General features: G+C 46.7%; 1 protein-coding gene across 4 annotated transcripts in view; it reads left to right on the forward strand.

Annotated features, from left to right (window-relative positions):
- Positions 1-316: 316 nt before the first annotated feature.
- Positions 317-21005, forward strand: part of SOCS7 (suppressor of cytokine signaling 7) — a 53750-nt gene continuing 33061 nt past the window's right edge. The window contains exons 1-6 of one of the 4 annotated variants that reach the window (XR_007065295.1): positions 317-1505; positions 10184-10248; positions 13225-13329; positions 13781-13882; positions 14315-14506; positions 14760-14868. Coding sequence is in view for 3 of the 4 variants with exons in the window: in NM_014598.4 (NP_055413.2) it covers positions 526-1505; positions 10184-10248; positions 13225-13329; positions 13781-13882; positions 14760-14890; positions 16355-16523 (1552 nt within the window). In the remaining variant the exon portion in view is untranslated. Of the gene's footprint in view, positions 1506-10183; positions 10249-13224; positions 13330-13780; positions 13883-14314; positions 14507-14759; positions 14891-16354; positions 16524-21005 lie in introns of those variants that run through there. The other 3 variants (NM_014598.4, XM_017024551.2, XM_017024552.2) reach the window with 3 other exon arrangements.

Consider the following 21005-nt stretch of genomic DNA (forward strand, 5'->3'; position numbering starts at 1 on the left):
TGATGAAATGACTCAGCCAAGGTCACACATCGCAAGCGGCGTAGATGGCAGAACCATATGTGCTCCCAAGGCCAGCGGCGCGCTCCCAGGACCAGACCATGGTTTCCAAGGCCTCTCCACTCTACCGAATGGGATGGCCTGGGCCTGGGCGCCCAGGAAGTGAAAAGCAAGGACCGGGAAAAGAGACCAACGCCAGCCAACAGACAGCTCACCGCCAATAGGGGCCGGGGGCGCGCGCGGCGTCACTCGCCGTGGAGGCCAGCGCGAGCACGCCCTGGGGAAAGTGGCGTGGCTAAGCCCTTCCGGAAGTGACGTCGGCTTGGGGGCGGTGCTCGGCGGTGGCGGAGCGCGGCCTGGGCTCGCGCTGGGCTCCGCGCGCCCCCCGCCCCCCTCTATGAGGCAGAGGCCGCGGCGGCCGTTAGCGCTGTCGCTCCGGGGGCCGCGGCGGGCGGGGCTCCGGCGGGGCCCGGCCTAGTCCCCACCCCAGCCCGGCTCCCAGCCGCCCGCCCTCCCTCCCTCTCCCCGATGCAGGAGGCCGAGCTCCGGGATGGCGAGGCGGCGGCGGCGGCCGCTTCGTACCGCGTCCTGAGCCGCCTCCTTGGCTATGGAGAGGCGGCCCCCGAGCCAGGCCCTCCGCCACCGCCCCCGGGCCATGGCCCCCCGCCGCCACCCTTCCTCGCGCGGCCCGGCCCGCGGGGCTCCCGGCCGCCGCAGCTGATGGTGTTCCGCAACGTGGGTCGGCCGCCGGAGGAGGAGGACGTGGAGGCGGCCCCGGAGCCGGGACCCTCGGAACTGCTGTGTCCCCGGCACCGCTGTGCCCTGGACCCCAAGGCCCTGCCGCCGGGCTTGGCGCTCGAGCGGACCTGGGGCCCGGCGGCTGGACTAGAGGCGCAGTTGGCGGCTCTGGGGCTCGGGCAGCCGGCGGGGCCGGGGGTCAAGACAGTCGGTGGGGGTTGCTGCCCGTGTCCGTGTCCTCCTCAGCCGCCCCCTCCGCAGCCCCAGCCGCCTGCTGCCGCCCCGCAGGCCGGGGAGGACCCCACGGAAACGAGCGACGCGCTGCTGGTCCTGGAGGGCTTGGAATCGGAGGCCGAGAGCCTGGAGACTAACAGCTGCTCGGAAGAGGAGCTCAGCAGCCCGGGTCGCGGAGGAGGAGGGGGCGGCCGGCTTCTGCTGCAGCCCCCAGGCCCTGAATTACCTCCGGTGCCCTTCCCGCTGCAGGACTTGGTCCCTCTGGGGCGCCTGAGTAGAGGGGAGCAGCAGCAGCAGCAGCAGCAGCAACCTCCCCCGCCCCCGCCTCCTCCCGGGCCCCTCCGGCCACTCGCGGGTCCTTCTCGGAAGGGCTCCTTCAAAATCCGCCTCAGTCGCCTCTTTCGCACCAAGAGCTGCAACGGTGGCTCCGGCGGTGGGGATGGGACCGGCAAGAGGCCTTCTGGAGAGCTGGCTGCTTCAGCTGCGAGCCTGACAGACATGGGAGGCTCTGCGGGCCGGGAGCTGGACGCGGGGAGGTGAGACCGGCCGGGGGCTGGCCGACAAACTTCCTTTTCTTGTTTGGTTTCCCTTTTTATCTATTGCTATCGCGATCCTGACAGTTCTTAAGATAGGGTCTTCAGGAGGAGGCAGAGACTTGGGACCAAAGGTGGTAACATCTCGCATAAGGTCAGCGCTAATTGTGGAAACAGCTTTCACTCTTAAAGAGTGCACACTCCGTGACACTTCTCAGCTGGTTTGCATCTGTCTTGTTGGAAGATGGTTTCAGACCATCCTCCCATCCCCATCCTGGCATGGCTTTTTAAGTTTTTCCAAGGCGGCTGTGTGCCATTGTCCCTGGAAGGGAGATTGCTGGAAGTGTTTGGCCTTTGGGGCAAAAAGCTGGTGTTGCACCTTGACCGCCTTGCTTATTCTGTGTACCAGCACCGCACCTCCCTTCACACTCATGCATGCAAATGACAGGAGAATCTTCAAATGCAATTGTAGGCCAGCAATCAATTGGACACCTCTATTCAAAGTTTTACTGTTTTCCTGGTTGTTCCCTTAGATGAACTTGGCATATCAAACTTGGGTGCTGACCACTGTCTCTGAGAATAGAAAATAGCAGACCGGGCACAGTGGCTCACACCTGTAATCCCAGCACTTTGGGAGGCCGAGGAGGGCGGATCACCTGAGCTCAGGAGTTTGAGACCAGCCTGGGCAACATGCGAAACCCCATCTCTACAAAACAAACAAACAAAAAATTAGCCCCCATCTCTACGAAAAAAATACAAAAAATTAGGCGGGAGTGGTCCCAGCTACTCGGGAGGCTGAGGCAGGAGGATCACTTGAGCCCAGGAGGCGGAGGTTGCAGTGAATAGTGATCGTGCCACTGCACTCCAGCTTGCGTGACAGAGTGAGAGCCTGTCTCGAGAAAATAGCTTTGCGCTCTCTCAAAGCCTTTTGAGAATTCTAAGTACCAGTAAGATATAGACAAGGTAGAGACAGGTACATGAGTTCTAGGCCGATTGATGAAAATTCCAAACATAGACGTTGAGTTTTTTTCCTGCATTTCTGAGGGGTGGACTGATCTTCGGCATCCAGTGTTACATCTGTAGCGTTGGTTTACAAAGCTGTCAACTTTGGTGTCAGTGAAATTAGTTACCTTGTAGTAACTGCCATTGTGGTTTGTACTTCTTTGGGTTCTCAGAAAGATTGGAATGGGTTTTGTTGTGGTTTACGTGATGGATTCTTGAGACATACTGGCAGCCATAAACCAAAGCTAAAGAACAGGTATAAATTGATAACCTTACTGTGAACTAAGATCACTTGGGGAGCTTTTTGAAAAGCCTAAGAGTTTGAACTTTTTAAAAGCTCCCCAGTTGATCCTGAACTGGGAACCACTCATCCATAGACTTCTGTTTTCAAGGGAACTTGGGTACTCCAACAAGAAAATGTTGGGTGGATTTGGCTTTCTTGCCCTTTCTGAACAGCTGTGCCATGGGCTTATCTTGGGGATGAGGCCAAATCCAAACTTTCTAAAGAAATCAGTGTGTTGTCCCTTTAGGTAGGCCAGTGTTTCTGCTTTGCCTCCCAGTGAATTCATGCTGGGAGTTCAGATCTTGAAAAGTGGGTGGCTGCTGAAACAGCTTTTTTTGTGGTAGGCTCTGTATTCGATGCTCCACTTACCAGCACAGATGAAATTTTCATCAGATGCAGGGGAGGGCGGGATTAAAGCTATGGGTAATGACATAGGATAGATTGCTAATTTTCTTGTGGTTTGTCTTGCCTTTGTTCCATATTGACCAGGAGTTCGTCTGAGATTCCAGAGACGCCAAATACGAGGTGTGGCGTGAAATTAGCTGCTACGTCTAATAGATTAGGAAGAGGAAAAGGCATATGACATTATACGGTTTTTTGCCTTTGGAAGCAGAATTTAATGGTCATTGGCTGCTCTGTCACCAACCCTCACACTAAGCACAATACAGATTTCTGCTGCAGAGCAAATTGGGCTGTAGCTTTGCAAAGAAGCTTAGTTCAGGGCACTGGAGAATTACATTTTTTGGTCCAAGGGCTTTTTTTGATGAATTGGAGAAGAGCTAGTTATTTGTGTATAAACGTTTGGTTGACTGCTGTTTGGAGGCAGCATGCTGTATAGAGAATGTGAAAGTCTAGATTCCGTGTAAACTCCAACATCAGCTAGGAGATGACCAAATTTGTCACCTTCATGCTTCCCTTTTTCCCCCATCTGTAAAATGGGTGAGCGTTGACTGTCTTGTTCCTGTCCTTATAAGAGTAGATTGTTGAGAAGAGAAATCTAGATGGAATATTTTGTGCTTTTTAGAAGATAAGTAATAGGACTGAGCTGGTAAATTTTTTAATGCTTAGGATTTGGTGCTGCTTGTGAGCTTTTCGACAGCTTACTATGTGCCAGTCTTGCTGGCAGCCTCGCAGCTGTGAGAAACTTGGTGAGTCTGGCCAGGGTAGTTGTGATTTCTGTGGATCTGCACCTCCTAAGTCCGCAATAGTGGGAGGATGAGTTTGGATTTTTAGCTTGTTCTCTTGTTTTGATTGGTAGGACCTGGAAATGGTGAGAAATTTCAGTCTTTTGCCAAAGGGTATATGCCTTTGTCCTCATTGTTGATTGGAGTTAATTATGGGCTTCTATAGTCTTTGCTGTATAATTTGGGGCTTTTGCAGTAACCTCTGGGCATAATTCCCTTTGCTATTCCCAACATCTGCCTTCCTACAATCATTTTAGAAGGTTTAACAATTCCCACATTTTAGCACTAAGCAAAACTTCCTTTTAGTTGCTTTTGAGTCTGGTAAGTGGACCTACCTGGATATATTGTCTTCAGTGTGGTATGAGTTAGCTTAGAGAAGTCTTTTTGTTTTGTTTTTTGTTTTGAGGTGGAGTCTTGCTCTGTCGCCCAGGCTGGAGTGCAGTGGTGCGATCTTGGCTTACTGCAACCTCTGCTTCCCGGGTTCAAGCGATTCTTCTGCTTCAGCCTCCCCAGTAGCTGGGATTACAGGGGCCCACCACCACACCCGGCTCATTTTTTTATTTTTTATTTTTAGTAGAGCTGGGGTTTTGCCATGTTTGCCAGGTTGGTCCCGAACTCCTGACCTCAGGTGATCTGCCTGCCTTGGCCTCCCAAAGTGCTGGGATTACAGTCATAAGCCACCAAGTCTGGCCAACTTAGATAACTGTTTTTAAGTGAGGTAAGAAATGGGCCCACCAGTTGGGTGTGGTAGTGTGCACCTGTAGTCCCAATACTTGGAAGGCAGAGGCAGGAGGATTACTTGTGCCCAGGAAGTTCAAGGGCACAGTAAGCTATGATGTGCCACTGCATTCCAGCCTGGGCAACAGAGCCAGACTCCATCTTTTTTTTGGGGCCGGGGGGATGGAGTCTCACTCTGTTGCCCATGCTGGAGTGCAGTGGCCCGATCTTGGCTCACTACAACCTCCGCCTCCCAGGTTCAAGCCATTCTCCCGAATAGCTGGGACTACAGGTACACGCCACCACGCCTGGCTAATTTTTTGTATTTTAGTAGAGACGGCGTTTCACTGTGTTGCCCAGGCTGGTCTCGAACTCCTGAGCTCAGGCAGTCCGCCCACCGCAGTCTCCCAAAGTGCTGGGATTACAGGCGTGAGCCACCACGCCCAGCTGACTCCATCTCTTTAAAAAGAAAGAAAGAAAGAAAGAAAGAAATGGGCCCAGCAACTAATCAGGTTTCTGTTCTGGGGAACTGGGCTAGGGCTTATAACACACATATGTTGGAATTCAAAGAGCTGGGCTTGATGCCTGTGGTCCTCAGTGTAATCTAGCATTGCTATTTCAGGAAAACCAGTGGAGTTCCCATGTCTGTTTCTCATATGTTGAGTTGATTGCCTTCCTTTGGATTTGGTGAGAGATCTAATTTGATCTGACCATTTTGAATCATCACGTAATACACACTTGGTTGGAAATAGGTACCTTGTTCACTTTTCAAGATTTGTTTTTTACCAAGTTAACAGATGAGGCTATTACTGGCTGTCTTCATGGTAGTGAGGTGGAGAAATGGAGGACGGTTCTGTAGTGGTTTCCTATCTATTTATTTGGGGGGGAAAAAAACAAAATATAGAATTCTGGAAAGAGAGGCAGGCTGCTTTGGCATCCATTTGGGGCCCTGCTGTCGTGGACAGGCCTGGCAGACGTGAGAAACTTTTTTCACTGTATCCTTGGGTCTTCAGGTCTAAAGGGATCTTTTTGAGTAATAGCATGACATGCTGAGAGCAAAATGATTTTATGGTGTGGCGAGGAAGTTCTGATTTTATGTTTGGGTTTTGGGTCCACACACTGTTGATCTTTTTAACTATTTTTTCCATGAAGTGGTTGTGGTTGGCAGCTCTCCTTTAGAACGAACTCCTGGGCTTAAAAAAAAATCTCTGTCCATTTGAGTCCTGTGCAGTGCTTCTCACTCCTTAACATTCTCTCTGCCAACATCATTTCTAAGGTTTTAGACCTTGGACCATGCCTCTTGGCTTTTCCCTGGAAGTTCCCTCTATAGGTTCTTTAGTTGGTTTATGATGGAGTTTTGGATCTGACCTTGCTGCACAGATGTCTGTGTATTGGAACTAAAAATGAACACATGGTTTTTGTGCCTGTAGCACATGAACAGACACTGGCTTATGACGTGTTGGAAATGGCACAGGCTGGCTGACTTGGCACCGTGTGCTTTAGCAGGGGCAGAGGTACATTGGAGCCATAAAATCTGGTATTTGGACATCCTAGTTTGGAAGTTACTTTAGAAAAGGACATGTGTAAATCTTAGGGCATCAGTACAGGAGATTTATGGGCAAGATAGGTTATTATTCTTTCATTGTTTTTATTTTAGGTTTCAAGGAATTTGAAAACCAGCCAATGGTTACATCTATGTGTTGTTGTTCTGTCTAGTCTAATGCTTTTAACTCCTTTATCCCATAAATCTGTTGCAGTACAGTTAATAATTTGCAGGGTAGAAATGGACAGAGGCATCCTGTTTTTTTGTTACCTACAGCATAGGCAGTAATTTAGCTGACACAAAGGACTGCTGGCCTCAAAGACCTTTGCCTAAGGCCTGCTGCCCTGTCCTTTTCTGTCACCTGAAGCACAGCCCACCAAATGCTATTCTTTCCCACCCTACTCCTCCAGTCTTTGTTGCTGCTAAGATGAAAGTGGTCTACTGGCAAAGTTAGAGGGGTATAACTTTGCACCCTAATGCTTTTTGAGGTGATCTGGGGAAGAATAAATAACATGGGAATGTAGTATAGAGGGTTAGTTTAAAATGTTATCTGAAATTCCTTTATTCATATTGCTCTCCAAAATATAGTGTGTCAGCTTAGAATGGCCTTTTATCATTCCAAATGGTTCATGTATACAAAAGGGGATATATAAAGTGTATGTCTTTGAATAATAATAAAATACAAATGTAGGTACCCATCACTAAACTTAACAAATAGAATGTTATCAGTACCTTTGAAGAGTGTTGCTTTCTAATTACATCTTACCCCTCCCCCAGGTAACCACCATCCTCAATTTTATGTATTAGTATCTTGCTTTGTTGTTGTTTTTTTTTTTTTATTGTCATCTAGATTGGTTTTTTCATGAATGACTGCCATTAGAATGCTCTCAGGATCCTTGAGACAGATACTGCTTTGGGTTTGTAGTTAGGCTTGTCTCCCCAAAGAGAGAAAGAAGCATGCATATTTATTAGTAGCCTTTTAGCCTCCTAGACTTTAGACCTTTTACCTTTCCAAGCATCCAGCCATGAGGCCCCCTTATTTGCCAGGAAAAACCATTCTGGCACTCTCGAACAGCTCTCCCTGGATTCAGATGTTTTTCTTTTTCTAGATCCTAGAAACTATGATTTTTCTTCTTCAAAATGCCGGGGGTGGGGGAGAAGATGAGCTGAAGTGAGAAGGCCTCCGCAAGATGTGTGCATTTGGGTCCTGCCGTTCTTCAGTGCTTGGCACTGAAGAGACTCGTCCCCAGCATGGGCAGATGGCAGAGTAATGCAGCTTCCTTTGAAAAGAGGCAAACGGCCAAATGGCTGAGGTGTGAACCTTTTGAAAGGCCAGTGCTTCAGGTTTCTACTTGCTGGGTTTAATGTTGTACCCACAAGTTATCAAATAAAAATCAGCTTGGAAGCTCTTCAGCAGTCCTAAAGTTCATGTCCAGTGGAATTAACATTGCATTCCATTCCTCTGGATTTTTGGAACTAAGCTGCAGTCATGAGCCACTTTTATGAGCGGAGAAACTGTGTGGCCATATCTTATTTTTATGTAGCCACCTCTCCTGTGGGTGCTGTGGGTGGAATATTCATAGTGAGCGTGATCATCAGAACCCTCAAGTATGGAAGAGGTTGCCAAGGGAATGTAAAGCTAGGTCAGGAGAAAGACGGACCAGGGTTTCAGCTCTTTCTGAATAAGATCTTCATGGTATGGTTTTAGAATTTTGTTTGAGGTGAATTCTGAGAAGCTCAGACATCAGTGTTAAAACATAAATGCATAAATATCTTCTGAAGTCAAATAATTTAAAATAGAATTTCATTTTGGATTTTCTTTGCTTTTGCCCCTCTCTATTGGTGCAGTTTATAGTTGAAAAGAGTTTAAGTTCTATTTAGACCTTTGGGTAAGAGTATTTTTGGAAGGTGAGCCAGCTATAATGCTAGGAGACAGGCACTCAATTCTGCGGTAGGATTTTCTTTAAGTCTGTTTTACTGTTATATATATATATATATTATTTTTTTAAAAAAATTTTTAATTAAAAAAAATTTTTTTTTGAGACAAGGTCTCTGTCACCCAGGCTGGAATGCAGTGGCTCAATCATGGCTCACTGCAGCCTTGACCTTCCCAGGTTCAGGTGACCCTCCCATCTCACACTCCTGAGTAACTGGGACTAGAGGTGTGCACCACCACGCCCAGCTAATTTTTATATTTTTTGTAGAGACGAGGTTTCATCATGTTGCCCAGGCTGGTCACGAACTCCTGGGCTCAAGCAATCTGCCCACCTCAGCCTCTCAAAGTGTTGGGATTACAGGTGTGAGCCATCGCACCGGGCCTGAGGTATAATTTATATACCGCAAAATTTACCCTTTTAAGTGTCCAGCTCTATTAATTTTGACAAATTTATATATAGTCATCATAACTTCTACCATAATCAGCATGTAACATATTTCTTTTTCTTTTTTTTTTTTTGGGGATGGAGTCTCACTCTGTCACCCAGGCTGGAGTGCAGTGGTGTGATCTTGGTTCACTGCAACCTTCACCTCCCGGGCTCAGGAAATTCTCCTACCTCAGCCTCCTGAGTAGCTGGGATTACAGGTGCATGCCACCATGCCCAGCTAATTTTTGTTTAGTAGAGATGGAGTTTCACCATGTTTGCCAGGCTGGTCTCGGGCTCCTGACCTTGTGATCTGCCCACCTTGGCCTCCCAAAGTGTTGGGATTACAGGAGTGAGCCACTGTGCCCAGCCAGCATATGGCATATTTCTTTTTTTTTATTTTTTTATTTTTATTTTTTATTTTATTTTACTTTATTTTGAGACGGAGTCTCGCTCTGTCGCCCAGGCTGGAGTGCAGTAGTGCGATCTTGGCTCACTGCAAGCTCCGCCTCCTGGGTTCACGCCGTTCTCCTGCCTCAGCCTCCCGAGTAACTGGGACTACAGGCACCCGCCACCACACCCGGCTAATTTTTTGTATTTTTAGCAGAGACAGGGTTTCACCGTGTTAGCCAGGATGGTCTTGATCTCCTGACCTTGTGATCCGCCTGCCTTGGCCTCCCAAAGTGCTGGGATTACAGGCATGAGCCACCGCACCCGGCCAGCATATAACATATTTCTATTACCTCGACAAGTTCAGTAATTCTGAGGTGAGTTTTTTTGGTTTAACACACTTCTGGCCGTAATGTCTTTGTTGGAGTCTTTTGAGTTTCTTTCATTTCTTGCTGAAAAGCCACTTGAAAGTGTGGTAAGAAGTGAAGTTATCTTTGGTATATTAACCAAAAGATCTGGGTTTTCAGACTGGTTCCCTGAAACAGCATCAAGAAGTCATGGGGAGGGCTGTGTGAGTGGCAGCTCAGAGAGACGAATGGGCCCTCTTGGATGCTAGGCAGAGCCCCTAATCTGAGGAGGCCCACTTAGTAGCTGATGGCTTTGACCCATGCCTTGGGGCAATTGTGCAGAAATCAGAGGTCTTCAAGGTTGAAGACTGCACATGCATCCTGCAGTGCTATTCTCAGGTCAGAATCTGTTCCTTGGTTCACTTTGGGATGACCTATCCTATAGGCAAGCCCAGAGGGAAACTTTGCTCTGAGCTGGTGCCTGTCCAGGTTAAGAGCCCTTTTCTTGGCTCCCAGATGGAAATTAGCTCTGCATCAGACTTCCTTCCTCTTGAAATGGACTTGCTAATTACCACTCAAGGTGTTTTACTCTTTTAATGTACTGGGTATGGTGAGCTCCAAAGGGATTTCTCATTGCTTTGTAGGTTGGTGAATTCTGTAGCCAAATCTATTTAAGGAATTGCCTTAATTATTTCATTCTCCCCCTTTATTTTATGCTGTATTACAAGAGTGTTGCTGACAACGACTAGGGTTTGCTTTATTTCTCAGTGCATCTGGAACTGAGTGTTGTGGTGACTTAAATGCATATGTGTTCATTTCTCCCCTCTATTCTCTCTCTGCTTTCTCACTCCCTAGGAAACCCAAGTTGACAAGAACTCAAAGTGCCTTTTCTCCGGTCTCCTTCAGCCCCCTGTTCACAGGTAAGGGTAATATCTTTCTCTCTTCTGACATCTGAAAACAGGGGCGTTCTGAGACCTGTTGGGAAACACTTACAGATGCATCACAGGGAGCTGTAGGCGTGTCTGCAGTTATTTCCTTCATTCCATGCTTAGTGGGTTTGGGGTGAGGCTATTTTTATGGTATGGAATGTGTTCTTGACTTTGGATGCTTTATAGTTGGAGGTAAAGGCTGCTTGTTGGTAATTAGGTGGCCTGGGTGGCCCTAGCAGTTATGCAGTGCTTAGTTCAGGGTCATCACATATAAATTAAAACTAGGAATTACAAATTTATGGGCTCACAGTGCATAAAAGACTCTCTAGAAGTCATACAATTTCTGTCTCTGCTTCCAAGGGAGTTCATGGGTTATCTCATAAAAATGATCCATGATTATCTGGTCTATTTTTAAAGACTTTTTTGGGCAAAGGGGATTACATGAGCTCTTGTCTTTTTAGGGGCTTGCAGTTCCTGCAGCTGTTAGACTTCTTTATTGTATCTAATTTAAGTCTGCCCTCTTGCAGCAGGGAACACAGTTGCTAAACTAGGAAGGCTGTAGAATCTCCTTTGGATGATGGGTAACTGCCTTCTCGTTTCGTAGGGAGCTTTTTCAGAGAGGGAGACCTTCTGTTATGTCAGTCACAGGTGAAGCTCCTGCATGAATAAGCTGGAGAAAAGTGGGGCTTTGCCCATGTCTCAGAAACTGAGTACTTCTCATTGGTTGTGACTGAGAAGCCTTTAAAAAAAATCCCAATCTCAAACTCCTTTGGATATCATGTCCCTCAAAAAGGTGATTGGAAGACTTACGATTTGGGAATGGATGCTTCCAGGAAAATGTTAAGCAGGCCAATGAGACTTGCAGCTGGGTAGACTGCTGTGAACTGTCAAAACAAGTGAATTGGTACCTGTATAGGCATCTACTGTAGTGGAGAAGGAGGTCTCTGTTCTTACCCAAGCCCAGAATTAAAAAATCTTATCTTGCGATACCATGTCTTTCTAGTTAATAGTTGTTTCCTCATTAAAGTAAGGAACATGGCTTGGTCACGGTCACGGTGGCTCATGCCTATAATCCCAGCACTTTGGGAGGTTGAAGTGAGCAGATCATCTGAGGTCAGGTGTTTCAGACCAGCCTGGCCAACATGGTGTGAAACCCCGTCTCTACTAAAAATACAAAAAATTAGCTGGGGCATGGTGCCGCACGCCTGTAGTCCAGCTACTCGGGAGGCCGAGGCAGGAGAATCGCTTGAACCCGAGAGGCTGAGGTTGCAGTAAGCAGAGATTTTGCCACTGCACTCCAGCCTGAGCGACTGAGCCTCTGTCTCAAAAAAAAAAAAGGAACACCACCTACATTTGTAGTTTGAGGTTCAGGTCAGCCTCAGCCCTCTTGAATGACGTCCTTTATGTTAAGTGCTCTACCAATAGTCTAGACTGCTCTGGCCTGTCAGGAAATACACTTGTCTGGCTCCATCGCATTGCTCTGGGCAGCCAGGCTTTCAGTTACCAAGCTGTATGGTGAGTCTGGTACCAGCTTTCTAGAACTTCCACTGATGGCTTTTGTTTATTTTTGACACAGGGCCTCACTTTGTCTCCCAGGCTGGAGTGCAATGGTGCAGTCTCAGCTTACTGCAGCCTCGACCTCCTAGGCCCAAACGATCCTCCCACCTCAGCCTCCAGAATAGCTGGGACTATAGGCATGCACCACCATACCTGAATAATTTTTATATTTTTGTAGAGACGGGGTCTTAACGTGTTGCCCAGGCTGGTCTTGAACTCCTGAGTGCAAGTGATTCGCCTACCTTGGCCTCCCAAAGTGTTGGAATTACAGGTGTGACCCACTGCACCTGGTCTCACTGATGACTTTTAGAAGAGCTTTTCTGTTTATCTTAATTAGTATTCAAGAGCTTTGTAAAAAAACTGTGTATTTAGGTTCTGAAAGCCCAGTTTCCTTTGGTAGATATTGGTCACCTCATTTTCTTAACGGGGAAACATTTAAAATACTAGCTGAGGGGCTCATTCAGCCCTGAATTAAAAAAAAAGGTGTTGGAAGGAACACCGTAAGGGCTAAATTAGAGAAATCCTGAGTTCTGACTTGTGCATCAGGCCTGCCAAAATAACCGTATTCCTGGCTATCAGCTTGTGTTCATATTAATAAAATACCTTTCATCCTCTCGTGACTCAAGTGGAGAGGGAATAGACAGAGTTGGGTGGCAAGGAGTATTGTATATGGCAGGGAACAGAACTGCATGACATGCTGGGAAGAAGAGAGGCCATGTGCCTCCTCCCACCAAGTTCCTATGGAGAAGCTGCCTCTTAGATTACCTGACTTTTGTCTGACTGTGAAAGTAGTTAATTTTTAGGACTATAAATTGTACTTTCAGCCTTTGTAGCCTCAGCTGTTAAGAACAGATATCTTATTCAGGTAGATTCTCTTATGTGTGAATACTCTGGAAAATCAAGATATGGACTGCCCTCTAGGAAGAAGTTAGGACTAACATTGGGAACTTTATCTGCATTCAGCTTACCGTACAGTTCTTAGGTTTTCTGGCCCTTGCTTTCCATGTCTGTTTGGGCATATAACAAGCCACTTGGCTTGCTTCCTAAGGCAGAAATTGATACACAATTCTGAAAAAATAAATGGTATGGGTTCTATTGGATAAAGAAGACCCCTTGTTTGAGGGTACGTTGTAAGTCAGTGGCGGAACCAGAATTAGATGGTTTTTCCACTGTCAGTCCCATGGTTTTGTCCTAAAGAATCCTTGACCCTTAACAGGGCAAAGGAATGATAGAATTTAAAAATTGACTTCCTGGTGTTGGGGTGATTTCAGCCCTGGGGGCATTAGGTTTTGAGCTTTCTGAGAGCAGCAGACCCCCAGCCTCGCCTGCTTGCCCTTTGCTTCCCTTTGCTTTCTGCATCAGCTTTGGGCAAGGCGCTTCTGTAACTTGCTTGCTCCATGAATCCCTCAGGTGAAACTGTGTCGCTTGTGGATGTGGACATTTCTCAGCGGGGCCTGACCTCTCCACACCCTCCAACTCCCCCTCCTCCTCCGAGAAGAAGCCTCAGCCTCCTAGGTATAGTTTCTTCCCCTCTCCACCTTCTTGCCTAGTGGGAGGGTGAGCTCCAGGGACTTGTTCTTTGCTGGGGGCCGACCACGCTTCTGGGTTTCCGATGATGACTCAATTATTTCCCAGCTCTTTCTCAGCACCCCGTCATCTCCCTAAGCAATTAAATGGGTCTCACCCGCATGCTGTAATACTTACTATACATATATTAATTCAGTTTACATTTATCTTGCCTTGAACCCACTGCTATTGGGCTGCATTAGGAATATCCTTACTACCCTGCTTTCCAAAAGCAAAACAGAGTAAGATGATTGTTGCCCTCTGTGCAAAAAGACTGGGTGAAGGTTGGGCCATCCTGCCCCAGAGGGCAGCCTGATAGTCCTTCTCCCTCTCCTCTGCCTTCAGCGTGCTCATTCTGTGCTCACATTTCTGAACCTCTTGCTTTTGTTCTCTCTTCTAGATGATATCAGTGGGACGCTGCCTACATCTGTCCTTGTGGCTCCGATGGGGTCTTCCTTGCAGTCTTTCCCCCTACCTCCGCCTCCTCCACCCCATGCCCCAGGTTAGCTTAGTTTAGAGGCAAGACTTGTAAGAGTTGGGAGTACAAAGTGATACTTTCTACCATAGAAGGATGGGAGAAATCTATTTATGGAAATAACAGCTTAGTAGAAAGTTTAAATCTTTTCCCCTTGGCTGGACCAGACTCCTTAGAAATGAGGCGGAGAACTGGTTTTCCTAACCCGTTTTCTTTATGGAGGTCAATCTGATTTTTGTTAGGGATGAAAGACTACTGAATTTTTCATCAGTCTTTGCTGCTGAGACTGTTTTGCAATCCTTGAGTAGATATCACTTAAGAAACTGCCTTAATTTCAGGATAGTGAGGTTTAATATGTTGGTGGTTTTCAGCATTCTATGGTTTTTCTAAGCTTTTAGTATTTACTGCAGCCTTGTAAATAAGTACCAAGCATTTAGCAGCCCATACCTGCTTTGCCAGCTTACAGTACCCAAGGAATAAAATGAATGAAATCAGCATTCTTTTCTACTTGCCTGGCAAAATCATTACTCTTCCTGGGCAAGTAAGCGAGTCACTATTTCCAAGGCTGCCTTATCGGCACTTCACTTCGAGGTGGGAGAAGTTGGAATCGCTCTAGGCTGGTGAAGCCCCTGAAGTAGTCACCTTAGTAAGGTTAGTGAGCAGCTCCCCTCCCCCTTTCTTGGGGTCAAGTGCCCCCACCCATCCTTCACAGCTTACACAAGCCCACACAGCTTTTTGTTCCAGCCCATCCAGCTCTTTGCCACTGCTTTGGCTTCTACCCTTTCCAGCTTAGCTTCTAATGCCTTGCCCTCTTCAGTTAGCATCCTCTGTTTTTGGGGGAGGGTCTATTTGTGGTTGGGAGCAGTGAGGGTAAACAAGTGACCACCACTGTCTTGCCCTGCAGATGCATTTCCCCGGATTGCTCCCATCCGAGCAGCTGAATCCCTGCACAGCCAACCCCCACAGCACCTCCAGTGTCCCCTCTACCGGCCTGACTCGAGCAGCTTTGCAGCCAGCCTTCGAGAGTTGGAGAAGGTAGGTGGTACCTAAGGACTGGCAGGTCACTTCTCCTCCCATTAGCTAAATTCTGTATTCGGACACACCTTTATTTATGTGTTTATTTATTTTTAGAGACAGGGTCTGGCTCTGTTGCCCAGGCTAGGGTGTGGTGGCATAATCATAGCTCACTGTAGGCTCAAACTCCTGGGCCAAAGGATCCTTCTGCCTCAGCCTCCTGAGTAGCTAGGACTGCAGGCATGCACGACCAAGCCCAGCTAAAATTTATTTATATTTTTTGTAGAGACTGGTCTTGCAGTTTCCCAGGCTGGTCTTGAACTCCTGGGCTCAACGTGATCCTCTTGCCTCTGCCTCCCAAAGCTCTAGGATTATAGGCGTAAGCCACCACACCCAGCCCCTGTTTATTGTTTTCAGAGGAAGAATAGTTTACTTGCTTCCATATTTACAGTGACAAAACAGTGTGCTCCTGCTATTAGTTCCATGAGATGTAATAAAATTGAATTTGGGGAAAAAATTTGGACATGATAAAGGTTGTTGGAGAAATGTTTTACATAGTCTAAGCTGATTTTGATAGATTAACTGACCCAGTTCCCTCTTCTTTTCTTGGTAGGGTCTTTGGTAACAAAATTGTAGAATTATTATTCTTTGTTTTTTGTTGTTGTTGTTGTCTTGTTTTGTTTTTGAGACTGAGTTTCGCTCTTGTTGCCCAGGCTGGAGTGCAGTGGCGCAATCTCGGCTTACTGAAAACTCCGCCTCCTGGGTTCAAGCAATTCTCCTGCCTCAGTCTCCTGAGTAGCTGGTATTACAGGCGCCCACCACCATGCCCAGCTAATTACTGTATTTTTAGTAGAAATGGGGTTTCACCATGTTGGCCAGGCTGGTCTTGAACTCCTGACCTCAGGTGAGCCACCTGCCTTGGCCTCCCAAAGTGCTGGGATTACAGGTGTGAACCACTGCGCCCAGCCATTTTGTTTTTTGTTTTTTGTTTTTTTGACACAGAGTCTCACTGTGTAACCCAGGCTGGAGTACAGTGGCGCAATACCAGCTCACTGCAACCTCCACCTCCTGGGTTCAAGCGATTCTTCTGCCTCAGCCTCCTGAATAGCTGGGATTACAGGCATGTGCCACCAAACCCAGCTAATTTTTGTATTTTTAGTAGAGATGGGTTTTCACCATGTTGGCCAGGCTGGTCTCGAACTCCTGACCTCAAGTGATCCACCCGCCTCAGCCTCCCAAAGTGTTGGGATTACAGGCATGAGCCACAGCTCACGGCCAGAATTATTATTCTGTTACTTTGGAGGGCTAAAAGTATAGTGAGCCTGATGTTCATTGCTAATGGTTGAGACACTTGTAAGTGGCTTTTACCTATTGAAATATTTTGGAGAGAATGCAGAGGGTTCTCCCATGTTAAGATAGATTGCACTGAAAACTTTGACATTTCTCTGTCCTGATAACTAGTGGACTGCTTCTTGTCTTTGATAGTGTGGTTGGTATTGGGGGCCAATGAATTGGGAAGATGCAGAGATGAAGCTGAAAGGGAAACCAGATGGTTCTTTCCTGGTACGAGACAGTTCTGATCCTCGTTACATCCTGAGCCTCAGTTTCCGATCACAGGGTATCACCCACCACACTAGAATGGAGCACTACAGAGGTAAGAGATACTGGTAAGAGAGGCTTCTTCCCCCCTTGATTTGCTCTACCTTTGCTGTCTGACTTTTTTGTGGAAGAGATTCATAGGAATGGAACTACAAATAGGGGAAAAATTATCTTAGACTCAGTTGAATATTGATATGAGCGCTGATTTCCGTCACTAGAAGAAATGGAGGGGGTAGGGAAGGGAGAGTAAGGGTTCCATTTAAAAGTCTTGTCAGCAGCATCTTGTTTCCTAAATAGGAGGGCCTGAACAAAACTGTTGGAGAGGCTCCCGAGAAATGAGCCGGTAAAACTCTTTAGGTAAAAGGAAGAAAGAACCTAGGACCATTAGGCAAATTCTCACAAGCTTTGTTTGTAGTTAAACTTATCATCTAGAGATATTTTGTTAAATCACGTATACAAAGAGGGTGAATTTAGTGTTGATCCTGTAACTGTTCTGTTCTGAATTTCTTTCTTTTTTTTTTTTTGAGACAGAGTCTCGCTCTGTTGCCTAGGCTGGAGTGCAGTGGTGCGATCTCAGCTCACTGCAACCTCCGCCTCCTGGGTTCAAGTGATTCTTCTGCCTCAGCCTCCTATGTAGCTGGGATTACAGGCATGTGCCACCAGGCCTGGCTAATTTTTGTATTTTTAGTAGAAACAGTGTTTTATTCTGTTGGCCAGGCTGGTCTCAAACTCCTGACCTCAGGTGATCCACCCGCCTCGGCCTCCCAAAGGGCTTGGATTACAGGTGTGTCTGAATTTCTTTGTCTGATAGTCACTTTCTCCCAGGCAGCATGGTGATAATTTCCTCTTTTTGTCAATGTTGTAGTCTCTTAGGAAATATTCATTAAAATGTTGAGAGTTTGTGGGATCAACATGCTTTAGACTATCTGCCATTCTCCTAGTGGTACCTCTTCCTTTGTGATCAGATGGTACTTCATGTGCCAGTCATGCCTAGAAGCCGACTTGTTAAACACAGCTCTCTGGATTGACTTTGTATCGAGACATTCTGTATCTAACTTGGGCCAGAAACTTGTGATGGTCATTGTTTCTGAGGCTGGGTAATACATCCTTTGTCAAAATACCTGTGTATGCTACAAATTGAAAAAGCATAGAGAACTTTGGTGTGTTTCAGGGACTTGCTTCCCATCCCTCACAGTCTTACCATGGTGGTCAACCTTAAGTGAATGCTCTGAGACATTGCATCTGAGGTAAGAGCCTCTGTCCTGCCTCTTCTCAGGCCCCACAGCATCTTCCCCACTCAGCCCACACTGCATCGGGTTCTCTTGTGAGGCAGGAAGTAGCTGTTTAGGTCAGCATAGCTTTGTCCATGGTTTCCTCTGTACCCACTTCTACCTTAGAGATAACACGAAGAGAAAGGAACTTCAATCCAATGACCTGGGAATGAATTAGATAACTAGGTGGGATAGGTGAGGGGGACTGCCTCCTGTTCTGCTGTTTGTGAAAACAAAAACACACAAGGAAAAAAACAAAATGTGAAGCGGAGCATTTCAGAGTGAAGTATTTTGTTAAACCTGTTCAAATGACTAGGCCCTGGGAATTATAAATAAATACTTGACCTTTAAGTTCTTGATAGGTGAGATGCCAGGAACAAGAGGTCTTTCAAATAGTTCTCCGATTACTTTTTTTTTTTTTTTTTTTGAGTTGGAGTCTAACTTTGTCACCCAGGTTGGAGTACAGTGGCACGATCTCGGCTCATTGCAGCCTCCACCTCCTTGGTTCAAGCAATTCTTTTTTTGTTTGTTTTTTTTTTTTTGAGACAGAGTTTCGCTCTGTCACCAGGCTGGAGTGCAGTGGTGTGATCTTGGCTCACTGCAACCTCCGCTTCCTGGGTTCAAGCAATTCTCCTGCCTCAGCCTCCCATGTAGCTGGTATTACAGGTGCCCGCCACTATGCCCAGCTAATTTTTTTTGTATTTTTAGTAGACACAGGGTTTCACCATGTTGGTGAGGCTGGTCTTGAACTCCTGACCTCGTGATTCGCCCGCCTTGGTCTCCCAAAGTGCTGGGATTACAGGCGTGAGCCACCATGCCTGGCCGGGTTCAAGCAATTCTTGTAACTCAACCTCCCAAGTAGCTGGGATTACAGGTGTGCACCACCACGCCCAGCTAATTTTTGCATTTTTAGTAGAGACAGGGTTTTGCCACGTTGGCCAGGCTGGTCTCGAACTCCTAGCCTCACGTGATCTGCCTGCCTCGGCTTCCCAAAGTGCTGGGATGACACGCGTGAGCCACCTCACCTGGCCACCAGTTACTTTTTGTTAAAGGGACTTTGCTTCCTTGAATAAGTAGAATTTCTTTTTTTTGAGACGGGGTCTCACCCTGCTGCCCAGGTTGGAGTGTAGTGGTGAGATCATGCCTCGTCGTAGCCTCAACCTCCCAGGCTCAAGTGATCCTCCTATCTCAGCCTTGCTAGTAGGTGGGACTAGTGTGCATCACCATGCCCAGCTAATTTAAAAAAATTTTTTTAGTAGAGACAGGGTCTCACTATGTTGCCCAGGCTGGTCTTGAACTCCTGGACTGGAGCAATTCTACTGCCTTGGCCTCCCAAAGTGCTGGGATTATAGATATAAGCCACTGTACCTCGCCTATAACCGGAATTTTTTTTTTTTTTTTGAGACAGAGTCTTGCTCCATCGCCCAGGCTAGAGTGCAATGGCGCGATCTCAGCTCAGTGTCAACCTCTGCCTTCCAGGTTCGAGCTATTCTCCTGCCTTGGCCTCCCAAGTTGCTGGGACTATAGGCACCCACCACCATGCCCAGCTAATTTTTGTATTTTTAGTAGAGACGGGGTTTCACCATATTGGCCAAGCTTGTCTCGAACTCCTGACCTTGTGATCCGCCTGCCTCGGCCTCCCAAAGTGTTGGGATTACAAGCATGAGCCACGGCGCCCGGCCTTATAACTGGAATTTTTAATGGAAACCTTGCGGGCCTTTCCGTTACCAGTTTGCAGTGGAGCATTTGTCTTTGTCTTTTTTAAGTGATACTGTAAGAGTAGGTAGAGAGACTCAAATCTGCAGTTCTCTTGACTGATTAGTATCCCTTTTTTGTGTTTGTTTGTTTGTTTTGTTTTGTTTTTTAAAGACAGGGTCTGGCTCTGTGCCCAGGTTGGAGGGCAGTGCCACGATCTCGGCTCACTGCAGTCTCCACCTCCTGAGTTAAAGCGATTCTCCTGCCTCAGCCTCCTGAGTAGCTGGGATTACAGATGGGTGCCTCCATGCCCAACTTTTTTTTTTTTTTTGAGACGGAGTCTCGCTTTGTTGCCCAGGCTGGAGTGCAGTGGCGCGATCTCAGCTCACTGCAAGCTCTGCCTTTTGGGTTCAGGCAATTCTCCTGCCTCAGCCTCCTGAGTAGTTCCTGGACGCGTGCCACCACGCCCAGCTAATTTTTGTATTTTTAGTAGAGACGGGGTTTCACCATGTTGGCCAGGTTGGCCTTGAACTCCTGACCTCAGGGGATCTGCCCACCTCAGCCTCCCAAAGTGTTGGGATTACTGGCGAACTCCTGACCTCAGGGGATCTGCCCACCTCAGCCTCCCAAAGTGTTGGGATTACTGGCATGAACCACCATGCCCGGCCGGGACGGGTATTTTTCTGTGTTGTCCAGGTTGGTCTTGAACTCCTGAGCTCAAGTGACCTGCTCACCTCTGCCTCCCAAAGTGCTGGGATTACAGGTATGAGCCACTGTGCCTGGCCCTTTTGTGTTTTTTTTTTTTTTTTTTTTTTTTGTGGGTGATTCCTTTGGAATCTGGTGCTTCAGTTTTTTGAGTTTTTTCTTGTTTTATTTTTTTAAGTCATAGGAGTTCAGATTCCCTTTTCCATTTGGGATTTTAAAGTTTGAGGTGGGATCTTTGTAATATGTTGGCGTGGGGTTTTAAAGTTAAAGAAGGAAAGACTTAGATTTCTATTTTTTGCACTCAACACGCACTTGAATGAATGAGACCCACAAAACTGCTGTTCCTGTCTTTCCTCGACTATTCCATATGGTCTCTAAGAAGTATATATAGTTGACCCTTGAACAACCTGGGTTTGAACTGCGCAGGTCTGCTTATACATGGATTTTAAAAAGTAAATATATTGGAAAATTTTTTGGAGATTTGTGACAATTTGTAAAATCTTACAGATAAACTGTAGCCTAGAAATATCAAAAGAATTAAAAAGGTATGTTATGAATGAATAAAATATATGTGGATACTAGTCTATTTTAACATTTGCTACCATAAAATATATACAAATCTGTTATAAAAAGTTAAAACTTTATCAAAACTTATGCACACAAACCGTACATGGCACCATTCACTGTTGAGAGAAATGTAGACAAATATAAAGGTGCAGTATTAAATCATAACTGCATAAAATTAACTGTTACATACTGGGTGTACTACCGTAATATTTCATAGCCAACTAACTCCCTGTTACTATTGTGGTGAGCTCAAGTGTTGCAAGTATCCGCTTAAAATGTTGTGTGACGCTAGTCATCAC

Source organism: Homo sapiens, chromosome 17 (genome assembly GCF_000001405.40).
Source record: "Homo sapiens chromosome 17, GRCh38.p14 Primary Assembly".
Taxonomy (NCBI): Eukaryota; Metazoa; Chordata; class Mammalia; order Primates; family Hominidae; genus Homo; species Homo sapiens.